This window comes from Homo sapiens, chromosome X (assembly GCF_000001405.40).
Source record: "Homo sapiens chromosome X, GRCh38.p14 Primary Assembly".
Classification (NCBI taxonomy): domain Eukaryota; kingdom Metazoa; phylum Chordata; class Mammalia; order Primates; family Hominidae; genus Homo; species Homo sapiens.
Window position 1 is genome coordinate 151,903,708 of NC_000023.11, and position 23,191 is coordinate 151,926,898.

General features: G+C 50.4%; 1 protein-coding gene and 1 long non-coding RNA gene across 12 annotated transcripts; one reads left to right on the top strand and one right to left on the bottom strand.

Moving 5' to 3' along the window:
• Positions 1-723: 723 nt before the first annotated feature.
• Positions 724-7,376, bottom strand: MAGEA4-AS1 (MAGEA4 antisense RNA 1). The gene is made up of 2 exons (NR_136578.1): positions 7,316-7,376; positions 724-1,082 (listed from the first exon to the last, which is right to left on the bottom strand). It is a non-coding gene; the product is annotated as an MAGEA4 antisense RNA 1 (long non-coding RNA).
• On the top strand, positions 8,767-21,463 carry MAGEA4 (MAGE family member A4). 11 transcript variants are annotated; one of them, NM_001386198.1, is made up of 5 exons: positions 9,182-9,262; positions 11,803-11,930; positions 15,886-16,015; positions 19,746-19,817; positions 19,893-21,463. In NM_001386198.1, the coding sequence occupies exon 5, from the start codon at positions 19,958-19,960 to the stop codon at positions 20,909-20,911; it is 954 nt and encodes a 317-aa protein (NP_001373127.1). In that variant the 5' UTR covers positions 9,182-9,262; positions 11,803-11,930; positions 15,886-16,015; positions 19,746-19,817; positions 19,893-19,957; the 3' UTR covers positions 20,912-21,463. The 11 variants fall into 11 exon arrangements, with proteins under 11 accessions (NP_001373125.1, NP_001373127.1, NP_001373129.1 ...); NM_001386200.1 differs by lacking the exons at positions 11,803-11,930; positions 15,886-16,015 and adding an exon at positions 15,203-15,330; NM_001386197.1 differs by lacking the exons at positions 11,803-11,930; positions 15,886-16,015 and adding an exon at positions 18,819-18,924.

The following is a 23,191-nucleotide window of genomic DNA, read 5'->3' on the forward strand; positions in this document are numbered from 1 at the left end:
TTGGGGATGATGAATATATTTTGCACCTTCACTGTGGTTGTGGTTTCTTGGGACTATATATTTTTCAAAACTCTGCATTGTTTCTCAGTATTTTAGAGAAAAAGTAAGCAGAAAACTTATATCAGGGAGGAAATACATGACCTGAACAGCACCATTAACTACTCTGACCTAATTAAAATAAAAAAAAAAAACGCATCCAACAATAGCAGAATAAGCATTCCTCTTCAGTGTGCATGAAGTATTTACCAAGGTATATGGTATTCTAGGCCATCAAACAAACCCTACAAATTGAAAAGAATAGAAGTAATATAAAGCATCTTCTTAGACCATAATGTAATTAAGCTCAAAATCAAACACCATGATGTCTGAAAAATGCCCAAATATTGGAAATTTTAAAATATGCTCCTAAATGCCCTATGAACCAAAGAGGGAGTCTTAGGAGAATTTTAAAAATACATCAAGTCGAATGAAAATAAAATTATATGTACAGAAATTTGTGGGATTCAGCTAAAGTATTTCCTTGAGGGAAATTTATAGCATATTTTAAATGTTTATATTAGAAAATAGTATCTAAAATCAATAACCAAAACATCCACACTAGGAAACCAAAGAAAGAAGAACGAGTTGAATTTAAAGAAGGACCCCACCCCCATCCCTTCCCAAACTCCCACCTCTTCCCTCCTTCCTCCCTCCCCACCATCAGAGAGCACACAGACCCACACATCATTTTACAACAGGTTTATTTTATTTTGATCACCATGGGGTATACCCTGTTGGGTATAAAATGTACTCTAGACCCTGTTGGCTATTTATCTGGGGTTAGACCTCTGGAGACCTCTCAGCTTGCCCTGAAATTACTGACTGCTCAGGGAGACACTGAAGAAGGTGGAGGTCTCCTCACTGTTTTGGTCCAGCTGTGGCTCATTTTGATGGAGTTCCTCGTTCAGCTGGTCACAGTGGCAGGATACTGTTGGCCCACTCCCTTCCTCAGGTTTTCCTGAAGCGGTGGTCTTTTTGGGAGAGACGTTTTTCCTGGAACTTCCTTGAAGGGTTCCTTTTCCCTTCCTAGTTGTCTTGGGAATCTGGAATGACAACAGGGAGATCTCAGAAGGGCATTGGTTTGGGGAAAGAGGATGGAGAAGGGGCGGGAACAGGGGCTTCATGAGAAAGGCATGGGCTGAGGTGAGGGTTGTGCTAGGTGAGGACAGGGTAGGAGTCTTGGGAGGGAAGAGTCAGGGTCAAGAAAGGGAGGAGGCTAGGTGGTTCATTTATCTTGATAGGGCTTCTGGATCTAGGTTGAGAGGGGGCTTTCATCTTCCTCGCCATTTTGGTGATGGCTGGTGATTGTTCCAAAAGTGGGCTGGAGGCTCGTCGTTTCCTGGTCATCTTCGCCAGCGTCTCTCAATTGTCTATTCCAGGCTGCCTGGTCTCCCTATACATACCCCTCCCAGGACAATGACGAACGAGACCCCTGAGCTTTGATTGGTCAGCAAGCTACTACCTAGCCAATGGTTGCCCTGTCGTGGAGAAGGTCTTAGATGTCACAAACCGCCCTCAGGACATTGTCATGAGAGGGAGGGGCGAGGAGAGAGAGGAGGAGAGGAGGAAAGACGAGGAGGGGACGGGAGGATGAGGAGGAAGCCAGAGTGGTCTGGTTGAAGAAAAGAGGGGCATTTCTTTAGAACTGCTAAAGAGCTTTCCCAAACAGATAGTGCTGCTCCTTTCCTCCCATGTTCAACTGGGGTGGGTCACATGGCAGGGAGAGAGTATTTCCTCCAAGCTTTTCCCCCAGGTCACTCCATTTCAATGCTTCTTTCTGTTTTCTCCTGCCATTCACCATTATCTAGTTTTTTAAAAATTATTATTATTATTGTATTTTACCAGAAATCTCTCCAAGATAATCTGGCTGTATTTAAGTCTATGTGTAAATGTGAATCACCCTACTTCCCTCCTAAAAATTTCTCTTATACATCTTGAAGACCACTCACTTGGCTGCTACCAGGGAACTTTTCAATCTTACTTCCTTTTCCCAGTGTCCACAGAAGTCTCCTGGGGTTTCAGTTTTCCCCAGTCTGAAATCACTGCTTTCAGGCTGTCAAACTTCAGTGAATACACTTCCTCCACTGGATATCTTATGAATCTTGTTTCAACTGTGGGGTCATGCTCATCTCAGCAGGTGCAGTACCCATGTTTGGATTTTAACAGTGTAGGGTGAATGAGGCAGATTTTCACATGTCAGAAATCATGCAGGATGTTTGCATTGTAGAAAAATACAACCTAAGACTGATGAGTTCATGGAACAGGGTGGTGTTGAGTAGAATAGATCAACACTGTGCCTGTGGTTCTGTCCAGTGTAATAAGTTTTTTTTTTTTTTTTTCAAAAAAGGCCTTCAGATTGGAAAAAGACAAGTAGAACTGTCTTTATTTACAGAAAATAAGAGCATATGCAGATAATTCTATCAATCTTAAAAATGCTTCTAGAACTAATAAGAGTTTAGCAATGGCACTGGATATAGATCATTATACCTGTATTTTTATACTAGCAATGAGCAATTGGCAATTGAGACAAAACAATGCAATTTAAAATAAACATTAAATGGATAAATATGACAGAAGATGTATAAGATCTGTCCACTGAAAACTATAAAACATTACAGAGATAAATTTAATGAGAAACTAAGTAAATAGAGATATAAACTTTATTCATTAGTCAAAAGACTGAATATTAAGATGTCATTTTCCCTCAAGGTTTTTGGAAGATTCAGTGCAATCCAAATCAAATTCCAGAAATGTTTAAATAGAAATTGGGAGGCTGACTCTAACATTCATATAGAAGTGCAAGGGCCTTAGAATAGCCAAAGAAAACTTTAAAAAATAGAACAAAGTTGGAGGCGTTACCTTACTTCATTTCAAGGCTTATAAACTAACAATGATCAGTATAGTGTGGGACTGTCATAATTACAGCAATATATCAACAGAAGAGAATAAACTCCAGGAATGAATCAACATGTATATGCATCTATAGATAACTATTTATTGATAAAGATGCAAATGAAGATTAGAGGGGAGAAATGATAGTGTATTCAACAATTGGGTCTGGAACAATTGGATATCCATATGCAAAACTAAATTTCAATCCATACTTTATCTATCTATCTATCTATCTATCTATCTATCTAAAAAGGGAGAGAGAAAAATAAAGGTATTTTAAGGAATTGTCTCAGGTGATTATGAGGTCTGATACATCCAAAATCTATAGGACAGGCCAGCAGGCTAGAAACTGACACAGCGTTTTTATGTTCCAATCTTGTGGTAGAATTCCTTCTCCAGAAAACCTTGGTCTTTTAAGACCTTCAACTGATTGTATGAGGCACACCCACATTATGGAGGTAAACTGCTTTATTTAAAATCAACTGATTTTAAATGCTGATCACATCTACAAAATACCTTCACAGAAACATCTAGACTAGTGTTTGACCGCACAACTGAGTACTATAGTCTAGACAAGTTGACCCATAAAACTAACCATTGCACATGCCTTGCCCCATATAAAAGTGTAACTCAAAATGAATCATAGCCCTAAATGTCAAAAATACTTTTTTTTCTAGAAGAAAACAGAAGAAAAACTTGTTACCTGGGGTTATGTCTTAGTTAGCTTTGACTTCCATAACAAAATGCCATGGATTGTGTAGCTGAAACAACAGAAATTTATTTTTTTTCAGAGTTTTGGAGACTGAAAGTCACAGATAAAGGACTGGAGGCTGTAATTTCTTATTCCTGGCTTGTAGATGGCCCTTTCTCATTATGTCCATTCTTGGCATTTCTTCTGTGTATGTGCATGGAGAGAAGGAAGGGAGGAAGGGTGAGAGAGAGAGAGAGTTCTCATTTAAGCACAAGAGTGCTTTCTTGTGTCCCTTCTCATAAGCACACTAATCCTATGGGATCAAGGCCCCACCCTTATGACCTCTTTTAACATTCATTACTTCCTTAAAGGCCCCACCTCCAAATACAGAAATACTGGGGCCGAAAGCTTCAAAATATGAATTTGGCAGAGGACATAAGCATTAGCAAAGAATAGACACATAGATTAATAAAACAGGATAGGGCTCAGAAATAGACCTGCACACATAAAGTCAGGTGATTTACAACAAAGGCAATAATGGTAAAAGTATAGTTTTTCCAACAAATGCTGCCTGAACATTGGACATCTATACACACATAATAATAACCTAGACATATCCTTACATATTTCAAAAAAAATTAACTCAAAACACATCATAGACCTAATGCAAAATGCAAAATCCATACAACTTCTATACGAAAACATAAGAGTAAATCTACATAATTTTCAGTTTGGTGGTGAGTTTTTAAATTCAACACCAAAAGCATCATCAATGAAAGAAAAATTTGCCAAGTTGGACTTTATTAAAATAAAAATAGTATGCTCTTCAAAAGACAGTGTGAATAGAATAAAAACAGAAGCTACAGACTAGGAGAAAACATCTGTAGTATACATAAGTGATAAACAACTTGTCTCTACAATATACACAAATTCTTAAAACTCGATGATAGAAATAAATGAAAATAGTCAAAGATCTGGACAGACACTACACCAAAGAAGATATACAGATGGCAAATAAGCATAATAAAAGTGCTGAACGTCCTTTGTCATTAGAGAAGTGTGTACTAAAATGAGGTACCACTGTACACCTAATTAGAATGTCTACAATAATAATAAAAAAAGTCCATGAAGATATGGAGCAACAGAAACTCTCATTCATTGATGGTGAAAATGCAAAATGGTACAGGCACTTTGGAAGACAGTTTGGCATTTTCTTAAAAAACTGAACATAGTCTTACGATAAGATTCAGCAATCCTACTCCTAGGTATTGATCCAACTAATTTGGAAACTTACATCTACATAAGAAATTGTATATTAATGTATACAATAGCTTATTTCATAATCACCAAAAACAGAGGCATCCAAGATGTATTTCATTTGGTGAATGGATTAAAAAACACGTAGATTAAAAAAACAGAATAGAGCCCCAACATAGACCTGCACACATACAATCAAGTGATTTATAACAAAAGCAATAAAGGTGAAAGTATAGTTGTTCCAACAATTGGTACATGAACAACTGGGTATCTAAACAAAAATAATAATAATAACCTAGACAAATCCTTAGGTATTTCACGAAATTAACTCAAAATACATCATAGACCTAATGCAAAATGCAAAAACTATACAACTTCTATAAGAAAACATGAGAAAATTTACATAACTTTGTTTGTTAAAGAGCTTTTAAATTAAACACCAAAAGCAAAAGTAGCAATGAGCACACCTAGCACCCAGAAGTAGATTTCTAGAACCATTTCCCATTAAAAGGAACCAGATATTTGGAGAAATGGCTTATTTATGACTGGGGCAGGGCATAAACCTGACGAGCCTGGGCCATTTTGCAGCCCTAGAAATTAAGGGCTAGAGAATATGATAAAGGACATTACAGTGTTGCAAATCCAGACTATGGAAAACTGGAAAGAACATAAGATATGTTTCTTTCCAACAACGAAGCGATGGCAAGAAAACAGATCATGTGGAGGGGACCTACAGGTGAGAGAAGATTTAATTACAAAAAATCACTATGTAATACTATTTTTGGGTACTCATCCAAATAAACAAATTTTTATAAAGTATAAGTCTTCTAGATAAGTGCATAAAACAGTTGAACATTTCATAATCATTTATTTATTTTTTAGAAATGAGAATTGTATTGGGTTTTTATTTGTAGTGATTGTGACCCAGAGGTGACTACAATCACGGGTGCTGCAGCCACCCAGGGAACACCTCGCCTGGTACCTGCAGCCATTCTCTGCGAGGGGTACAGCTGGGTACAATGTCCTTGTCTTTTAAAAATGAATATTGAATTATTTAGAGATGAAATGGTATGCTGTCTTTGATTTGATCCACATTATTCCAGCAGCTGAGATGCAGGTAGGTGAGTGTCTAACTGGAACCAGATTTGCCGTGTATTTAAGGTTGTTGATGCTGAGCGTCAGGTATGCTGGGTTCATTATGTTAGTCTCTCTATTATTCTATATGTGTGAGGCTTCCCTGATAAAAAAACGTTTTTTGTCATAAATATCATGCCATTAAAAATGAAATCCTAAATGATCCAACTATTTTGTAGAAATAAAATAAACAAATGACCAAATTGATCCAAAAAGAAAACTTCAATTAAACGACACAAACTGAAACTATACAATATTCAAAGCTCAAGCCATCCTCAAACGTCCCAGGTTAGTCGGTTTCGGAGGCTGATTCCACCAAATGATCAAGGAAAACTAACCATCATCTTATCTCAACTCTTCAAAGCACGCAAAATATAGACAATTCTTCAATTCATTCTCCCAGATTAACCCTTCTGGATTCAAAAATCAGATGAGGACCACCCCCCACTCCCGATGGAAAAAACACATAAACAAGCTCTCTTACATAGCAGCAAATATCTTATGTAAATTAGTAGAATATTAAATGAACAAACAAGCTCTACCCAAGGAAAGAAAATATGATTTAACATTAGAAAAAAAAGTTTCATTGTAATTTTTTACACACAAAATAGAGGAGAAAAAATTTATCACATCAATGGGTACAGGAAAAGCTTTTGGAAGAAATTCAATATGAGTTCATGGTAAAAATATTTAGTTAACCTATATTGAAAGAGAACATACATTTCCTAAAATCAACAGCAAACAAATTTAAGAAGTTCAAAGAATTATCATTAAAGGCAGGAACACGAAGTAGATGTAGGCTATTATCTCTACGTTTTAAATCATCATTGAGACACAAAGTCAGAGCTATAAGTATCATAATAAATAAGGGGCATGAATATAGGAAAAATACATAATGTTTAGTGATAATACCCTTATCATTCTTGAAAATTCAAAGAAAAAGGCATGTGGAATATTCAAGTCAATGGGTTTTCAGAATGAGGTGTACAACAGATTACTATAGCAAAATCAAATTCTCTGCCACACAATAGCAATAACTATTAGAGTTAATTAATTTCCATTAATTAGAACAATTAATAGAAAATATGCCATTTGCAATAGCAACAAAATCCAAGAATTACCAAAAAAGAAGCCTAAGAAAAATGTGTAAGGTCTTTCTAGAGGAAACTATCAAAGTATACTGACAGATTCAGGTAAAAGGAGTTTGAAATAAGTAAAGGAGCATAACCTATTCATTGATCAGGAGCAGAACATTGTAAAAATGTCAATTCTGCTTAAATGATTTACAATTTAGTGTCTTACCTGTAGCTGCCAAAAATTACAGTCACACTTAGGCTGCTGTTCTCTGGTTCCCAAATCAACTCTGGAAAATTATAGAAGAGAAAAAGAAAGAAAGAAAAAACAACAATATAAGCAATAAAATCTAAGCAACAAAACACAGAAAGTCCTGGGTGAGACTGAGGACTGTGTTGAACTGGTACTTATGTTTGGGGCGGTGTCAGTTGGAGGGGGGTTGGCTGCAGGGATGTTGAAGTCTATAGCCTGCCTAGACGTCAGATGACAGAATGAATAGGATGAACATTTTAAAATCTCCACCTCACTGCACTGCACAATCTGAGGCAGCACCTCAAAACACGATTCCAGTAACCCTAGGGTAATAGCAGGACAGCAGGAAAATTGGGTTGGTTAAGGCAGTATGGTTCCGGAGATCTGCTAATTACAACCTGAAACCAACTTAGTGGATGAGGATTAGCATTATTATTATTATTATTATTAATATTATTATTATTATTATTATTGAGACTGTCGCCCGGGCTGGAGTGCAATGACTCGATCTTGGCTCACTGCAACCTCCGCCTACCAGGTTCAAGCGATTCTCCTGCCTCAGCCTCCCAAGTAGCTGGGATTATAGGCGCCCACCACCACGCCCAGCTAATTTTTTAATTTTTTTTCTATATTTAGTGAAGACAGTGTTTCACCCTGTTGGCCAGGCTGGTCTCGAAAAGAATTATTTTAACAGAACATAAACAATGGAATAGAAGTTGAATAGGGTATCAGAGTGAATCATGCAAACTAAGGGTAGGTATTCTTTCATAGAAATAAATATATATGTTGCTACCTATATATATCCTTGGAAGATATGTAAAATATATTTCTTTGAGGAAAAAAGGTTTCCAAAGTCCAGCTCTGGCTGGGGAGGAGCCCCCGTGGGAAGGCGTGCATCTTCTCACAGAGGTCACTACAATAACGGGTGCTGCAGCCACCCAGGGAACACCTCGCCTGGTACCCGCAGCCATTTTCTGCAAGGGGTACAGCTGGGCAAATGCTCAGAGGTGAGAGAAAAAGAGCATCTCCAACCCATCACTTCAACAAAGAGCCAGGACCCAGGAAGAGGACCCTCCTGAGTGAAGACTGAGGGTAAACCCCCGCTCAAAGAGGGGCCACAGAATCCAGCTTAGTCCCTCCTGTCAGCCCTGGAAGACCCCAGCGGCTTTGTCGCCCAAGGACACCTCTCCCCCCACTGTGACCTCAGGGGACTAGGAGTCAGAACCTTGGTCTGAGGGGAGCAGACACCATCCGCAGAGAACAGGGGTCCAGGCTATGCCAGGAATCAAAGGACTGAGGGGCACGCCTACCTCAACCCCTAACCCCAGGACCTCTCGCCTCCTCCCCCACCCCAACTCCCACCCTGGCCGAATCCGGTTCCACCCCTGCTGTCAACCCAGGTGGCCCGGATGTGACATCCCTGACTTGCGCATTGGTCTGACCAGCAACTCGAGATCCACGGAGGGAAGCAGGCGCAGGCTCTGTGAGGAGGCAAGGTGGGGGCAGGCTGTGCCAGGCGTCAAAGTCAGGACCCTAAGAGAGAGCTGAGGGTTCCCCACCCCCATTCCTATCCCCCACCCCATTCCCATTCCCTTCCACACTCCTAACCCAATCCACACCCTCATCCCCTACCAGCACCCCATCCTCCCCAACCCCGTGCCACCCTCATACCCCCATCCCCAATTCAACCCCCGCACCCTCATCCCCCACCCCACACCTGCACCCCCACCCCCCAACACCCATACCCCCATCCAGGCAGGATCCCCGGTTCCGCCCCCGCTTTCAACCAAGGAAAGCCCCAGCTGCCCGGATGTGATGCCACTGACTTGCGCACTGGGGGTTAGAGACAAGCGAGCTTCTGCGTCTGACTCGCAGCTTGAGACTGGCGGAGGGAAGCCCGCCCAGGCTCTATAAGGAGACAAGGTGAGATGCTGAGGGAGGACTCAGGAGGACCCCCACCCCACATAGACGACCACAAAAAATCCAACACCACCCCTGCTGCCAGCCCTGGGCCACTCCTGGAGACTTCTCAGTCTGTGGTGGGGGGGCCACCACCCCACTGCCACTTAAGCCTCAGGGGATTCTGAAGTCAGAGCTTGGGGTGATCAGTGCAAGACTGGTGGGGGCAGGCTCTGCCAGGCATCAACCTCAGGACCCTAAAAGCCAGCTGAGCGTACCACACCGCTATTCCCATCCCGCAACCCCATTCCCATCCCCTAACCCCTTCCCATTCCCATTCGCACTCACAAACCCATCTACACTCCCATCCTCCACCAGCTCCCCATCCTCCCAAACACCCCACCACCTTCATACCGCCATCTCCCACCCCCAAAAACCCGCCCCCTCCACCGACCTCACCCCTCCCACCCCCATCCACGCTGAATCGGGTTGCGCTCCCTCTTTCAACCCAAGAAAGCCCCAGGGGCCCGGATGTGATGCCACTGACTTGCGCATTGGGGGTTAGAGAGAAGCGAGCTGCTCTGTCTGACCAGCAGCTTGGGATTGGCGGAGGGAAGCGGGCCAGGCCCTGTGAGGAGTCAAGGTGAGACGCTGAGGGAGGACTCAGGAGGCCCCCACCCCAGATAGATGACCCCAAATAATCCCGCACCACTCCTGCTACCAGCCGTGGGCCACCCGTGGGCGGACTTCTGAGTCTGGGGCGCCCACCACCCCACTGCCTCTGAAGTTGCAGGGGACTCTGGAGTCAGAGCTTGGGTTGATTAGTGTAAGACTAGTGAGGGCAGGCTCTGCCAGGCATGGACCTCAGCACCCTAAGAGAGGGCTAAGCGTACCCCACCCCTATTCCCATCCCCCACCACGTCCCCTTTCCGATTACCATTTGCACTCCCAAACCATCCACGCCCCCATCCCCCACCAGCACTCCTCTCCTCTTCAACCCCCCACCTCTCTCATACCGCCATCTCCCACCCCAACAACCCGGGCCCTTCTACCAACCTCACCCCTCCCACCCCCATCCACACTGAATCACGTTCCGCTTCCGCTTTCAACCCACCCCCAAAAACCCGCCCCCTCCATCGACCTCACCCCTCCCACCCCCATCCACGCTGAATCTGATTTCCGCTTCCTCTTTCAACCCAAGAAAGCCCCAGGGGCCCGGATGTGATGCCACTGACTTGCGCATTGGGGGTTAGAGAGAAGCGAGCTGCTCTGTCTGACCAGCAGCTTGGGATTGGCGGAGGGAAGCGGGCCAGGCCCTGTGAGGAGTCAAGGTGAGACGCTGAGGGAGGACTCAGGAGGCCCCCACCCCAGATAGACGACCCCAAATAATCCCGCACCACTCCTGCTACCAGCCGTGGGCCACCCGTGGGCGGACTTCTGAGTCTGGGGCGCCCTCCACCCCACTGCGTCTGAAGTCGCATGGGACTCTGGAGTCCGAGCTTGGGGTGGTTAGTGTAAGACTAGTGAGGGCAGGCTCTACGAGGCATCAACCTCAGGACCCTAAGAGAGGGCCAAGCGTACCCCACCCCTATTTCTATCCCCCACCGCCTCCCCTTTCCCATTACTATTTGCACTCCCAAACCCATCCGCGCCCCTATCCCCCACCAGCACTCCTATCCTCAACCCCGCACCTCTCTCACACCGCCATCTCCCACCCCAAAAACTGGGGCCCCTCCACCAACCTCACCCCTCCCACCCCCATGGATGCTGAATTGGGTTGCGCTTCCGCTTTCAACCCACCCCCAAAAACCCGCCCCCTCCACCGACCTCACCCCTCCCACCCCCTTCCACGCTGAATCGGGTTTCCGCTTCCGCTTTCAACCCAAGAAAGTCCCAGGTGCCCGGATGTGATGCCACTGACTTGCGCATTGGGGGTTAGAGAGAAGCGAGCTGCTCTGACCAGCCGCTTGGGATTGGCGGAGGGAAGCGGGCCAGGCCCTGTGAGGAGTCAAGGTGAGATGCTGAGGGAGGACTCAGGAGGCCCCCACCCCAGATAGACGACCCCAAATAATCCCGCACCACTCCTGCTACCAGCCGTGGGCCACCTGTGGGCGGACTTCTGAGTCTGGGGCGCCCACCACCCCACTGCCTCTGAAGTCGCAGAGGACTCTGGAGTCAGAGCTTAGGGTGTTTAGTGTAAGACTAGTGAGGCCAGGCTCTGCCAGGCATCAATCTCAGGACCGTAAGAGAGGGCTAAGCGTACCCCACCCCTATTCCCATCCCCCATCACGTCCCCTTTCCCATTACCATTTGCACTCCTAAACCCATCCGCGCCCCCATCCCCCACCAGCACTCCTCCTCGACCCCCCACCTCTGTCATACCGCCATCTGCCACCCCAAAAACCGGGGCCCCTCCACCAACCTCACCCCTCCCACCCCCATCCACGCTGAATCGGGTTCCGCTTCCGCTTTCAACCCACTCCCAAAAACCCGCCCCCTCCACCGACCTCCCCCCCACCCCCATCCACGCTGAATCGTGTTTCCGCTTCCGCTTTCAACCCAAGAAAGCCTCAGGGGCCCGGATGTGATGCCACTGACTTGCGCATTGGGGGTTAGAGAGAAGCGAGCTGCTGTCTGACCAGCAGCTTGGGATTGGTGGAAGGAAGCAGGCCAGGCCCTGTGAGGAGTCAAGGTGAGACGCTGAGGAGGACTCAGGAGGCCACCACCCCAGATAGACGACCCCAAATAATCCTGCACCACTCCTACCTGCCGTGGGCCACCTGTGGGCGGACTTCTGAGCTTGGGGCGCCCACCACCCCACTGCCTCTGAAGTCGCAGGGGACTCTGGAGTCAGAGCTTGGGGTGTTTAGTGTAAGACTAGTGAGGCCAGGCTCTGCCGGGCATCAATCTCAGGACCCTAAGAGAGGGCTAAGCGTACCCCACCCCTATTCCCATCCCCCACCACGTCCCCTTTCCCATTACCATTTGCACTCCCAAACCATCCACGCCCCATCCCCCACCAGCACTCCTCTCCTCTTCAACCCCCCACCTCTCTCATATCGCCATCTCCCACCCCAACAACCCGGGCCCTTGTACCAACCTCACCCCTCCCACCCCCATCCACACTGAATCACGTTCCGCTTCCGCTTTCAACCCACCCCCAAAAACCCGCCCCCTCCATCGACCTCACCCCTCCCACCCCCATCCACGCTGAATCTGATTTCCGCTTCCTCTTTCAACCCAAGAAAGCCCCAGGGGCCCGGATGTGATGCCACTGACTTGCGCATTGGGGGTTAGAGAGAAGCGAGCTGCTCTGTCTGACCAGCAGCTTGGGATTGGCGGAGGGAAGCGGGCCAGGCCCTGTGAGGAGTCAAGGTGAGACGCTGAGGGAGGACTCAGGAGGCCCCCACCCCAGATAGACGACCCCAAATAATCCCGCACCACTCCTGCTACCAGCCGTGGGCCACCCGTGGGCGGACTTCTGAGTCTGGGGCGCCCTCCACCCCACTGCGTCTGAAGTCGCATGGGACTCTGGAGTCCGAGCTTGGGGTGGTTAGTGTAAGACTAGTGAGGGCAGGCTCTACGAGGCATCAACCTCAGGACCCTAAGAGAGGGCCAAGCGTACCCCACCCCTATTTCTATCCCCCACCGCCTCCCCTTTCCCATTACTATTTGCACTCCCAAACCCATCCGCGCCCCTATCCCCCACCAGCACTCCTATCCTCAACCCCGCACCTCTCTCACACCGCCATCTCCCACCCCAAAAACTGGGGCCCCTCCACCAACCTCACCCCTCCCACCCCCATGGATGCTGAATTGGGTTGCGCTTCCGCTTTCAACCCACCCCCAAAAACCCGCCCCCTCCACCGACCTCACCCCTCCCACCCCCTTCCACGCTGAATCGGGTTTCCGCTTCCGCTTTCAACCCAAGAAAGTCCCAGGTGCCCGGATGTGATGCCACTGACTTGCGCATTGGGGGTTAGAGAGAAGCGAGCTGCTCTGACCAGCCGCTTGGGATTGGCGGAGGGAAGCGGGCCAGGCCCTGTGAGGAGTCAAGGTGAGATGCTGAGGGAGGACTCAGGAGGCCCCCACCCCAGATAGACGACCCCAAATAATCCCGCACCACTCCTGCTACCAGCCGTGGGCCACCTGTGGGCGGACTTCTGAGTCTGGGGCGCCCACCACCCCACTGCCTCTGAAGTCGCAGAGGACTCTGGAGTCAGAGCTTAGGGTGTTTAGTGTAAGACTAGTGAGGCCAGGCTCTGCCAGGCATCAATCTCAGGACCGTAAGAGAGGGCTAAGCGTACCCCACCCCTATTCCCATCCCCCATCACGTCCCCTTTCCCATTACCATTTGCACTCCTAAACCCATCCGCGCCCCCATCCCCCACCAGCACTCCTCCTCGACCCCCCACCTCTGTCATACCGCCATCTGCCACCCCAAAAACCGGGGCCCCTCCACCAACCTCACCCCTCCCACCCCCATCCACGCTGAATCGGGTTCCGCTTCCGCTTTCAACCCACTCCCAAAAACCCGCCCCCTCCACCGACCTCCCCCCCACCCCCATCCACGCTGAATCGTGTTTCCGCTTCCGCTTTCAACCCAAGAAAGCCTCAGGGGCCCGGATGTGATGCCACTGACTTGCGCATTGGGGGTTAGAGAGAAGCGAGCTGCTGTCTGACCAGCAGCTTGGGATTGGTGGAAGGAAGCAGGCCAGGCCCTGTGAGGAGTCAAGGTGAGACGCTGAGGAGGACTCAGGAGGCCACCACCCCAGATAGAAGACCCCAAATAATCCCGCACCACTCCTACCAGCCGTGGGCCACCTGTGGGCGGACTTCTGAGCTTGGGGCGCCCACCACCCCACTGCCTCTGAAGTCGCAGGGGACTCTGGAGTCAGAGCTTGGGGTGTTTAGTGTAAGACTAGTGAGGCCAGGCTCTGCCGGGCATCAATCTCAGGACCCTAAGAGAGGGCTAAGCGTACCCCACCCCTATTCCCATCCCCCACCACGTCCCCTTTCCCATTACCATTTGCACTCCTAAACCCATCCCCGCCCCCATCCCCCACCAGCACTCCTCCTCGACCCCCCACCTCTGTCATACCGCCATCTGCCACCCCAAAAACCGGGGCCCCTCCACCAACCTCACCCCTCCCACCCCCATCCACGCTGAATCGGGTTCCGCTTCCGCTTTCAACCCACTCCCAAAAACCCGCCCCCTCCACCGACCTCCCCCCCACCCCCATCCACGCTGAATCGTGTTTCCGCTTCCGCTTTCAACCCAAGAAAGCCTCAGGGGCCCGGATGTGATGCCACTGACTTGCGCATTGGGGGTTAGAGAGAAGCGAGCTGCTGTCTGACCAGCAGCTTGGGATTGGTGGAAGGAAGCAGGCCAGGCCCTGTGAGGAGTCAAGGTGAGACGCTGAGGAGGACTCAGGAGGCCACCACCCCAGATAGACGACCCCAAATAATCCCGCACCACTCCTACCTGCCGTGGGCCACCTGTGGGCGGACTTCTGAGCTTGGGGCGCCCACCACCCCACTGCCTCTGAAGTCGCATGGGACTCTGGAGTCAGAGCTTGGGGTGTTTAGTGTAAGACTAGTGAGGCCAGGCTCTGCCGGGCATCAATCTCAGGACCCTAAGAGAGGGCTAAGCGTACCCCACCCCTATTCCCATCCCCCACCACGTCCCCTTTCCCATTACCATTTGCACTCCCAAACCATCCACGCCCCATCCCCCACCAGCACTCCTCTCCTCTTCAACCCCCCACCTCTCTCATACCGCCATCTCCCACCCCAACAACCCGGGCCCTTGTACCAACCTCACCCCTCCCACCCCCATCCACACTGAATCACGTTCCGCTTCCGCTTTCAACCCACCCCCAAAAACCCGCCCCCTCCACCGACCTCACCCTTCCCACCCCCATCCACGCTGAATCTGATTTCTGGTTTCTCTTTCAACCCAAGAAAGCCCCAGGGGCCCGGATGTGATGCCACTGACTTGCGCATTCGGGGTTAGAGAGAAGCGAGCTGCTCTGTGACCAGCCGCTTGGGATTGGTGGAGGGAAGCGGGCCAGGCCCTGTGAGGAGTCAAGGTGAGACGCTGAGGGAGGACTCAGGAGGCCCCCACCCCAGATAGACGACCCCAAATAATCCCGCACCACTCCTGCTACCAGCCGTGGGCCACCCGTGGGCTGACTTCTGAGTCTGGGGCGCCCTCCACCCCACTGCGTCTGAAGTCACATGGGACTCTGGAGTCCGAGCTTGGGGTGGTTAGTGTAAGACTAGTGAGGGCAGGCTCTACGAGGCATCAACCTCAGGACCCTAAGAGAGGGCTAAGCGTACCCCACCCCCATTCCCATCCCCCACCCCCTCCCCTTTCCCATTACTATTTGCACTCCCAAACCCATCCGCGCCCCCATCCCCCACCAGGCTCCTATCCTCCTCAACCCCGCACCTCTCTCACACCACCATCTCCCACCCCAAAACCCGGGCCCCTCCACCAACCTCACCTCTCCCACCCCCATCCACACTGAATCAGGTTCTGCTTCCGCTTTCAACCCACCCCCAAAACGCGCCCCCTCCACCGACCTCACTCCTCCCACCCCCATCCACGCTGAATCGGGTTCTGCTTCCGCTTTCAACCCAAGAAAGCCGCAGGTGCCGGAATGTGATGCCACTGACTTGCGCATTGGGGGTTAGAGAAAAGCGAGCTGCTCTGTCTGACCAGCAGCTTGGGACTGGTGGAGGGAAGCGGGCCAGGCCCTGTGAGGAGTCAAGGTGAGACGCTGAGGGAGGACTCAGGAGGCCCCCACCGCAGATAGACAATCCCAAATAATCCCGAACCACTCATGCTCCCAGCCCTGGGCCACTCGTGGGGGGACTTCTGAGTCTGGGGCGCCCACCACCCCACTGCCTCTGAAGTCGCACGGGACTCTGCAGTCAGAGCTTGGGGTGATCAGTGCAAGACTGGTGAGGGCAGGCTCTGCCAGGCATCAACCTCAGGACTGTAAGAGAGGGCCGAGGGTCCCCCACCCCCATTCCCATCCCCCTTCCCATTCCCATCCACACTCCCAACCCCATCTACACCCTATCCCCCACCAGCACCCCTATCCTCCCCAAACCCCCACTACCCTTATGTCCTCATCCCCCACCCCAACACCACTATCCCCATCCAGGTTGAATCGCATTCCGTTTCTGCTTTCAACCCAGGGAAGCTCCAGGTTCCTGGATGTGATGCCAGTGACTTGTGCATTGGGGGTTAGAGAGACGCTAGCTTCTCAGTCTGACAGGCAGCTTGGGATTGGCAGAGGGAAGCCGGTCCAGGCTCTGTGAGGTGGCATAGTGAGAAGCTGAGGGAGAAGTCGGGAGGCCCTCTCCACCCCAGATAGACGACCCCAAATAATCCGGCACCCCTCCTGCTTCCAGTCCTGGGCCACCCGTGGGCGGACTTCTGAGTCTGGGACGCCCACCACCCCACTGCCGCTGAAGCCGCAGGGGACTATGGAGTCAGAGCTTGGTGTGATCAGTGCAGGACTGGTGGGGGTAGGCTCTGCCAGGCATCAACGTCAGGACCCTAGGAGAGGGCTGAGTGTCCCCCACCCCCATTCCTATCCCCTACCCCTTTCCCATCTGCACTCCCTACCCCATCTGTACCCCCATTCCCCACCTGTGCCCCTATCCTCCCCAACCCCCCAACCAGCCTCATACCCCCCTCCCCCACCCCTACCTTCATCCCCATCAGCGCAGCATCCGGTTCCACCCCTGCTTTCAATCCAGGCAAGCCCTGGGTGGCCGGATGTGATGCCACTGACTTGTGAATTGAGGGTTAGAGAGAAGTGAGTTTCTGGGTCTGAAGGGTGGCTTGAGATCGGCAGAGGGAAGGTGGCCCAGGCTTTGTGAAGAGGCAAAGTGAGACTCTGAGGGAGGATTCAGGAAACCCCTATCCCTGATAGAGGGTCCCAGCCCTGGACTACCCCGCGGAGGCTGACTTCTCAGACTGGGCTGCTCCCCACCTCCGCCCCCTTCGCAACGCGTTTGTTTAAGCCACAGGGGACTCTGGAGTCAGAGGTTGGTGTGATCAGGGAAGGGCTGGTTAGGAGAGGGCATGGCCCAGGCCCTGCCAGGAATCAAAGTCAGAAACCTGAGAGGGAACTGAGGTCCCCCAAGATCCTAGTCTAACCCCCACTCCCACAAATCCGCTGCCATTTCGCTGCTCCATTTCCCATTCCTTGCCCTCCACCCTCACCAGGCAGAATCCAGTTCCCCTTCTGCTATCAATCCAGGGAAACCCCAGGCTTGGTGCTGGGATGTTTTTTGGGGGTCAGAGAATCAAGGGCATAGTCCTGAGGGGCCAGTTGAGATCGGCTGAGGGGAGCGGGCCCAAGCTCTGTGGCGAGGCAAGGTGAGACTCTGAGGAAGGACTGAGGAGGCCCCCACCCAAGATAGAGGAACCCAAATAATCCAGCGCAGCTCCTGCTGCCAGTCCTGGACCACCCGGGGGAAGACTTCTCAGGCTAGGCCATCCCAGCTCCCACTGCCACTAAAGCTACAGGGGACTCTAGAGTCAAGAGCTTGGTGTGCCCAAGGCAGGGCCCAGGCTCTGCCTGGCATCGGGGTCAGGACCTTGAGAGGGAACTGAGGGCGCTACACCCCCACCCCATCCGCATTCCAACATGCCCAGCCCCATCCCCAACTCCGTTTTGCAGAATCCATTTTTTCCCCTGCAGTCAACCCCGGGAAGACCTGGGAATGGTCAGGCACTCGGATCTTGACATCCACATCGAGGGCTGAAGGAGGGAGAGGGTTTGGTATCATGAGCAGAGCCTCAGGGTAGCAGAGGGAGGACCCTGGCCCTCCTGGGAGATGAGGAAGGCCTCAGGAGACCCAGCACCCCAAGGCAGGGAGCCCACCCCACCCCGTCTGAGAATGAGGTGCCTCCTCTTTTAGCCTCAGGAATCCAAGGGATGGCAACTCAGGTCAGCAGAGGGGTGGGTTCCAAGCCCTTCCAGGATCAAGGAAAGGAAGACGAGGGAGGATTCAGGGGGCCTTGCATTCCAGATCAGTGGAGACCTGGGCCCTGGGAGGTCCTGGGCAAGGTAGCCACCTGTAGCTCATACTTCCTGCATCTTCGAGGTCACAGAGAGGAGAGGGCTATGGTCTGAGGGGTGGTACTTCAGGTCCGCAGAGGGAGGAGTCCCAGGATCTACAGGACCCAAGGTGTGCCACACTTCACGAGGAATGGGGATACCTGTGGCTCAGAAAGACGGGACCCCACAGAGTCTGGCTGTCCCCTGTTCTTAGCTCAGGGGGGACCAGAGGAGGGATGGCCCTATGTGCCAATTTCACTTGTTCCACAGGCAGGAAGTTGGGGAACCTTCAGGGAGATGAGGTTTTGGAGTAAAGGGGCAATGTTTGCTCATCTCAGGGGGTTGGGGGTTGAGGAAGGGCAGGCCCTGTCAGGAGCAAACATGAGTACCCCACAGGAGGCCATCAGAACCCTCACCCCAGAACCAAAGGGGTCAGCCCTGGGCACCCCACACAGGGGTGACAGGATGTGGCTCCTTCTCATTTCTGATTCCAGATCTCAGTGAGGTGAGGACCTTGTTCTCAGAGGGTGACTCAGGTCACCACAGGGACCCCCATCTGGTCTACAGACACAGTGGTCCCAGGATCTGCCAAGAGTCCTGGTGAGGAATGTGAGGGAGGATTGAGGGTACCACAGGGCCAGAACGCAGATGATGACCCCACAGAAATCAGCCCTGCTCCTGTTGTCACCCCAGAGAGCATGGGCTTGGCTTTCTGCTGAGGTCCCTCTCTTATCCTGGGATCACTGGTGTCACGGAGTGGGAGGCCTTGGTCTGAGGGGGCTGCACCCAGGTCAGTAGAGGGAGGGTCCCAGGCTCTGCCAGGAGTTGAGGTGAGGACCAAGCAGGCTCCGCATCCAGGACACATGGGTTCCAATGAATTTCGACATCTTTTGCTGTCGTTCTTCGGAAGACCTAGGCACAGGTGGCCAGATGTGGGGTTTCTTAGGTCCTGTTCCCTCTCAGGCATGTGAGCTCTTGATCTGAGTTTCTCAGGCCAGCAAAAGAGTGGGATCCAGGCCCTGCCTGGAGAAATGTGAGGGCCCTGAGTGAACACAGTGGGGATCATCCACTCCATGAGAGTGGGGACCTCACAGAGTCCAGCCTACCCTCTTGATGGCACTGAGGGACCGGGGCTGTGCTTACAGTCTGCACCCTAAGGGCCCATGGATTCCTCTCCTAGGAGCTCCAGGAACAAGGCAGTGAGGCCTTGGTCTGAGACAGTGTCCTCAGGTTACAGAGCAGAGGATGCACAGGCTGTGCCAGCAGTGAATGTTTGCCCTGAATGCACACCAAGGGCCCCACCTGCCACAAGACACATAGGACTCCAAAGAGTCTGGCCTCACCTCCCTACCATCAATCCTGCAGAATCGACCTCTGCTGGCCGGCTATACCCTGAGGTGCTCTCTCACTTCCTCCTTCAGGTTCTGAGCAGACAGGCCAACCGGAGGACAGGATTCCCTGGAGGCCACAGAGGAGCACCAAGGAGAAGATCTGTAAGTAAGCCTTTGTTAGAGCCTCTAAGATTTGGTTCTCAGCTGAGGTCTCTCACATGCTCCCTCTCTCCGTAGGCCTGTGGGTCCCCATTGCCCAGCTTTTGCCTGCACTCTTGCCTGCTGCCCTGACCAGAGTCATCATGTCTTCTGAGCAGAAGAGTCAGCACTGCAAGCCTGAGGAAGGCGTTGAGGCCCAAGAAGAGGCCCTGGGCCTGGTGGGTGCACAGGCTCCTACTACTGAGGAGCAGGAGGCTGCTGTCTCCTCCTCCTCTCCTCTGGTCCCTGGCACCCTGGAGGAAGTGCCTGCTGCTGAGTCAGCAGGTCCTCCCCAGAGTCCTCAGGGAGCCTCTGCCTTACCCACTACCATCAGCTTCACTTGCTGGAGGCAACCCAATGAGGGTTCCAGCAGCCAAGAAGAGGAGGGGCCAAGCACCTCGCCTGACGCAGAGTCCTTGTTCCGAGAAGCACTCAGTAACAAGGTGGATGAGTTGGCTCATTTTCTGCTCCGCAAGTATCGAGCCAAGGAGCTGGTCACAAAGGCAGAAATGCTGGAGAGAGTCATCAAAAATTACAAGCGCTGCTTTCCTGTGATCTTCGGCAAAGCCTCCGAGTCCCTGAAGATGATCTTTGGCATTGACGTGAAGGAAGTGGACCCCGCCAGCAACACCTACACCCTTGTCACCTGCCTGGGCCTTTCCTATGATGGCCTGCTGGGTAATAATCAGATCTTTCCCAAGACAGGCCTTCTGATAATCGTCCTGGGCACAATTGCAATGGAGGGCGACAGCGCCTCTGAGGAGGAAATCTGGGAGGAGCTGGGTGTGATGGGGGTGTATGATGGGAGGGAGCACACTGTCTATGGGGAGCCCAGGAAACTGCTCACCCAAGATTGGGTGCAGGAAAACTACCTGGAGTACCGGCAGGTACCCGGCAGTAATCCTGCGCGCTATGAGTTCCTGTGGGGTCCAAGGGCTCTGGCTGAAACCAGCTATGTGAAAGTCCTGGAGCATGTGGTCAGGGTCAATGCAAGAGTTCGCATTGCCTACCCATCCCTGCGTGAAGCAGCTTTGTTAGAGGAGGAAGAGGGAGTCTGAGCATGAGTTGCAGCCAGGGCTGTGGGGAAGGGGCAGGGCTGGGCCAGTGCATCTAACAGCCCTGTGCAGCAGCTTCCCTTGCCTCGTGTAACATGAGGCCCATTCTTCACTCTGTTTGAAGAAAATAGTCAGTGTTCTTAGTAGTGGGTTTCTATTTTGTTGGATGACTTGGAGATTTATCTCTGTTTCCTTTTACAATTGTTGAAATGTTCCTTTTAATGGATGGTTGAATTAACTTCAGCATCCAAGTTTATGAATCGTAGTTAACGTATATTGCTGTTAATATAGTTTAGGAGTAAGAGTCTTGTTTTTTATTCAGATTGGGAAATCCGTTCTATTTTGTGAATTTGGGACATAATAACAGCAGTGGAGTAAGTATTTAGAAGTGTGAATTCACCGTGAAATAGGTGAGATAAATTAAAAGATACTTAATTCCCGCCTTATGCCTCAGTCTATTCTGTAAAATTTAAAAAATATATATGCATACCTGGATTTCCTTGGCTTCGTGAATGTAAGAGAAATTAAATCTGAATAAATAATTCTTTCTGTTAACTGGCTCATTTCTTCTCTATGCACTGAGCATCTGCTCTGTGGAAGGCCCAGGATTAGTAGTGGAGATACTAGGGTAAGCCAGACACACACCTACCGATAGGGTATTAAGAGTCTAGGAGCGCGGTCATATAATTAAGGTGACAAGATGTCCTCTAAGATGTAGGGGAAAAGTAACGAGTGTGGGTATGGGGCTCCAGGTGAGAGTGGTCGGGTGTAAATTCCCTGTGTGGGGCCTTTTGGGCTTTGGGAAACTCCATTTTCTTCTGAGGGATCTGATTCTAATGAAGCTTGGTGGGTCCAGGGCCAGATTCTCAGAGGGAGAGGGAAAAGCCCAGATTGGAAAAGTGCTCTGAGCGGTTCCTTTGTGACAATGGATGAACAGAGAGGAGCCTCTACCTGGGGCAGGAATGGAAGGTGTCTTGCGCTTTTGTCCCAGTGTTGTTGAACACAGTGCATGAGCTAGGTGATGGACACCCGTTATTTGCAAGGGTTTCCTGTGAGATAAGTGTATGTCTCCCCCAAAAGGGAGACCCAGAAGCCACTGGCCAGGTGCTTTTCTACCTGGCTGGGAGAACCAGAACTGACTATTAAAAAGGCATTCTAATTAGGTTATCTCAAGTGCAATTTGACCAATTGTAAGCAGGGGCTAGATTTTGGGTGGTAACAAAATGAAAATAGTGGTATGGATGGAAAAGCAGCTGGGAGCGAGGGAAGGAGTTGGTCTTTGACTCAAATTCTAGGAGCTTTGAGCTGCATCTGGCTGGGGAAAACTCCCACACACTCAAATTTTGAGGCACATTCTCTAAGTGGTAATTCTTACTGAATTTTATGGACGAAACTTCCTTTTTTGGCTAATTATTCCATGCCCTATTGAGCTGTATATTCTCTGATCAACAACAGCAACAAAATCCCAGAATGCTAGGGTCTGGGGTCAAATAATACTAGAAGTAACAGCCATCTGCCTTTCCTTAAACTTCCAATTTAATTCCATTCCCTGAGCCAGGTGCTTCACGTACATTGCACACACTCCAACAGTCCTACTAGACAGGGCTTATCAAATCTGCTTACAGATGAAGAATTCAAGGCTCACAGGGCTTGTGAACTTGGACATAATAACAGAGTATTTCCGGGGTATCCCCAGGATCATGTGTCTAGTAAGGAACAGGGCTGGAATCAGACTCCTGCTCTGAATTCCTTTAGAGCCCATGCTGTTCCCATTCCCCCCAGCCTGAGGTTGACCTCCCGACTGGTACTTTATTTCTCTTCTCAGCACTGCACCATGTCTCTCAGGTGACAAAAAGAAGGACCTTGAGGCCAACATTACTAAAAGCAGGCTTGGAGAAGGTGGCAATGAGAATCAAACACCATTCGGGGCTGGTTTGCGCTGGGTTCCTTGACAGCTGAGTCTCCCCAGGTGTGGGCATTTCTGTCCGGTCTCAGCACTTTCTGGAACTACAGCGCATTTCCTCTGGTCACTTCCATATGGTCCTGTCTGACTCTGGAACCTTCCCTGCTGACCACCTTGTCACTGGTCCCCACAGAACAGCCCAAAATCACCTGCTCACCTCTTGACAGGGAGCATTCTGGGACAGTAGAAGTCTTCTGGCTGTCCCATCTCTCACCCAGGAAGCCGTGTGATAATAAGCAAACTTTTTGATATAAAATTCACATAGGGACAGTGGCTTTTAGACAACTGGGTACCACTCTGGTTATCTTCAACACAGTCTC

Excerpts from the sequence above, each read along its gene's own strand:
- MAGEA4 (NM_001386196.1), top strand. The coding sequence starts at position 19,958 with ATGTCTTCTGAGCAGAAGAGTCAGCACTGCAAGCCTGAGGAAGGCGTT.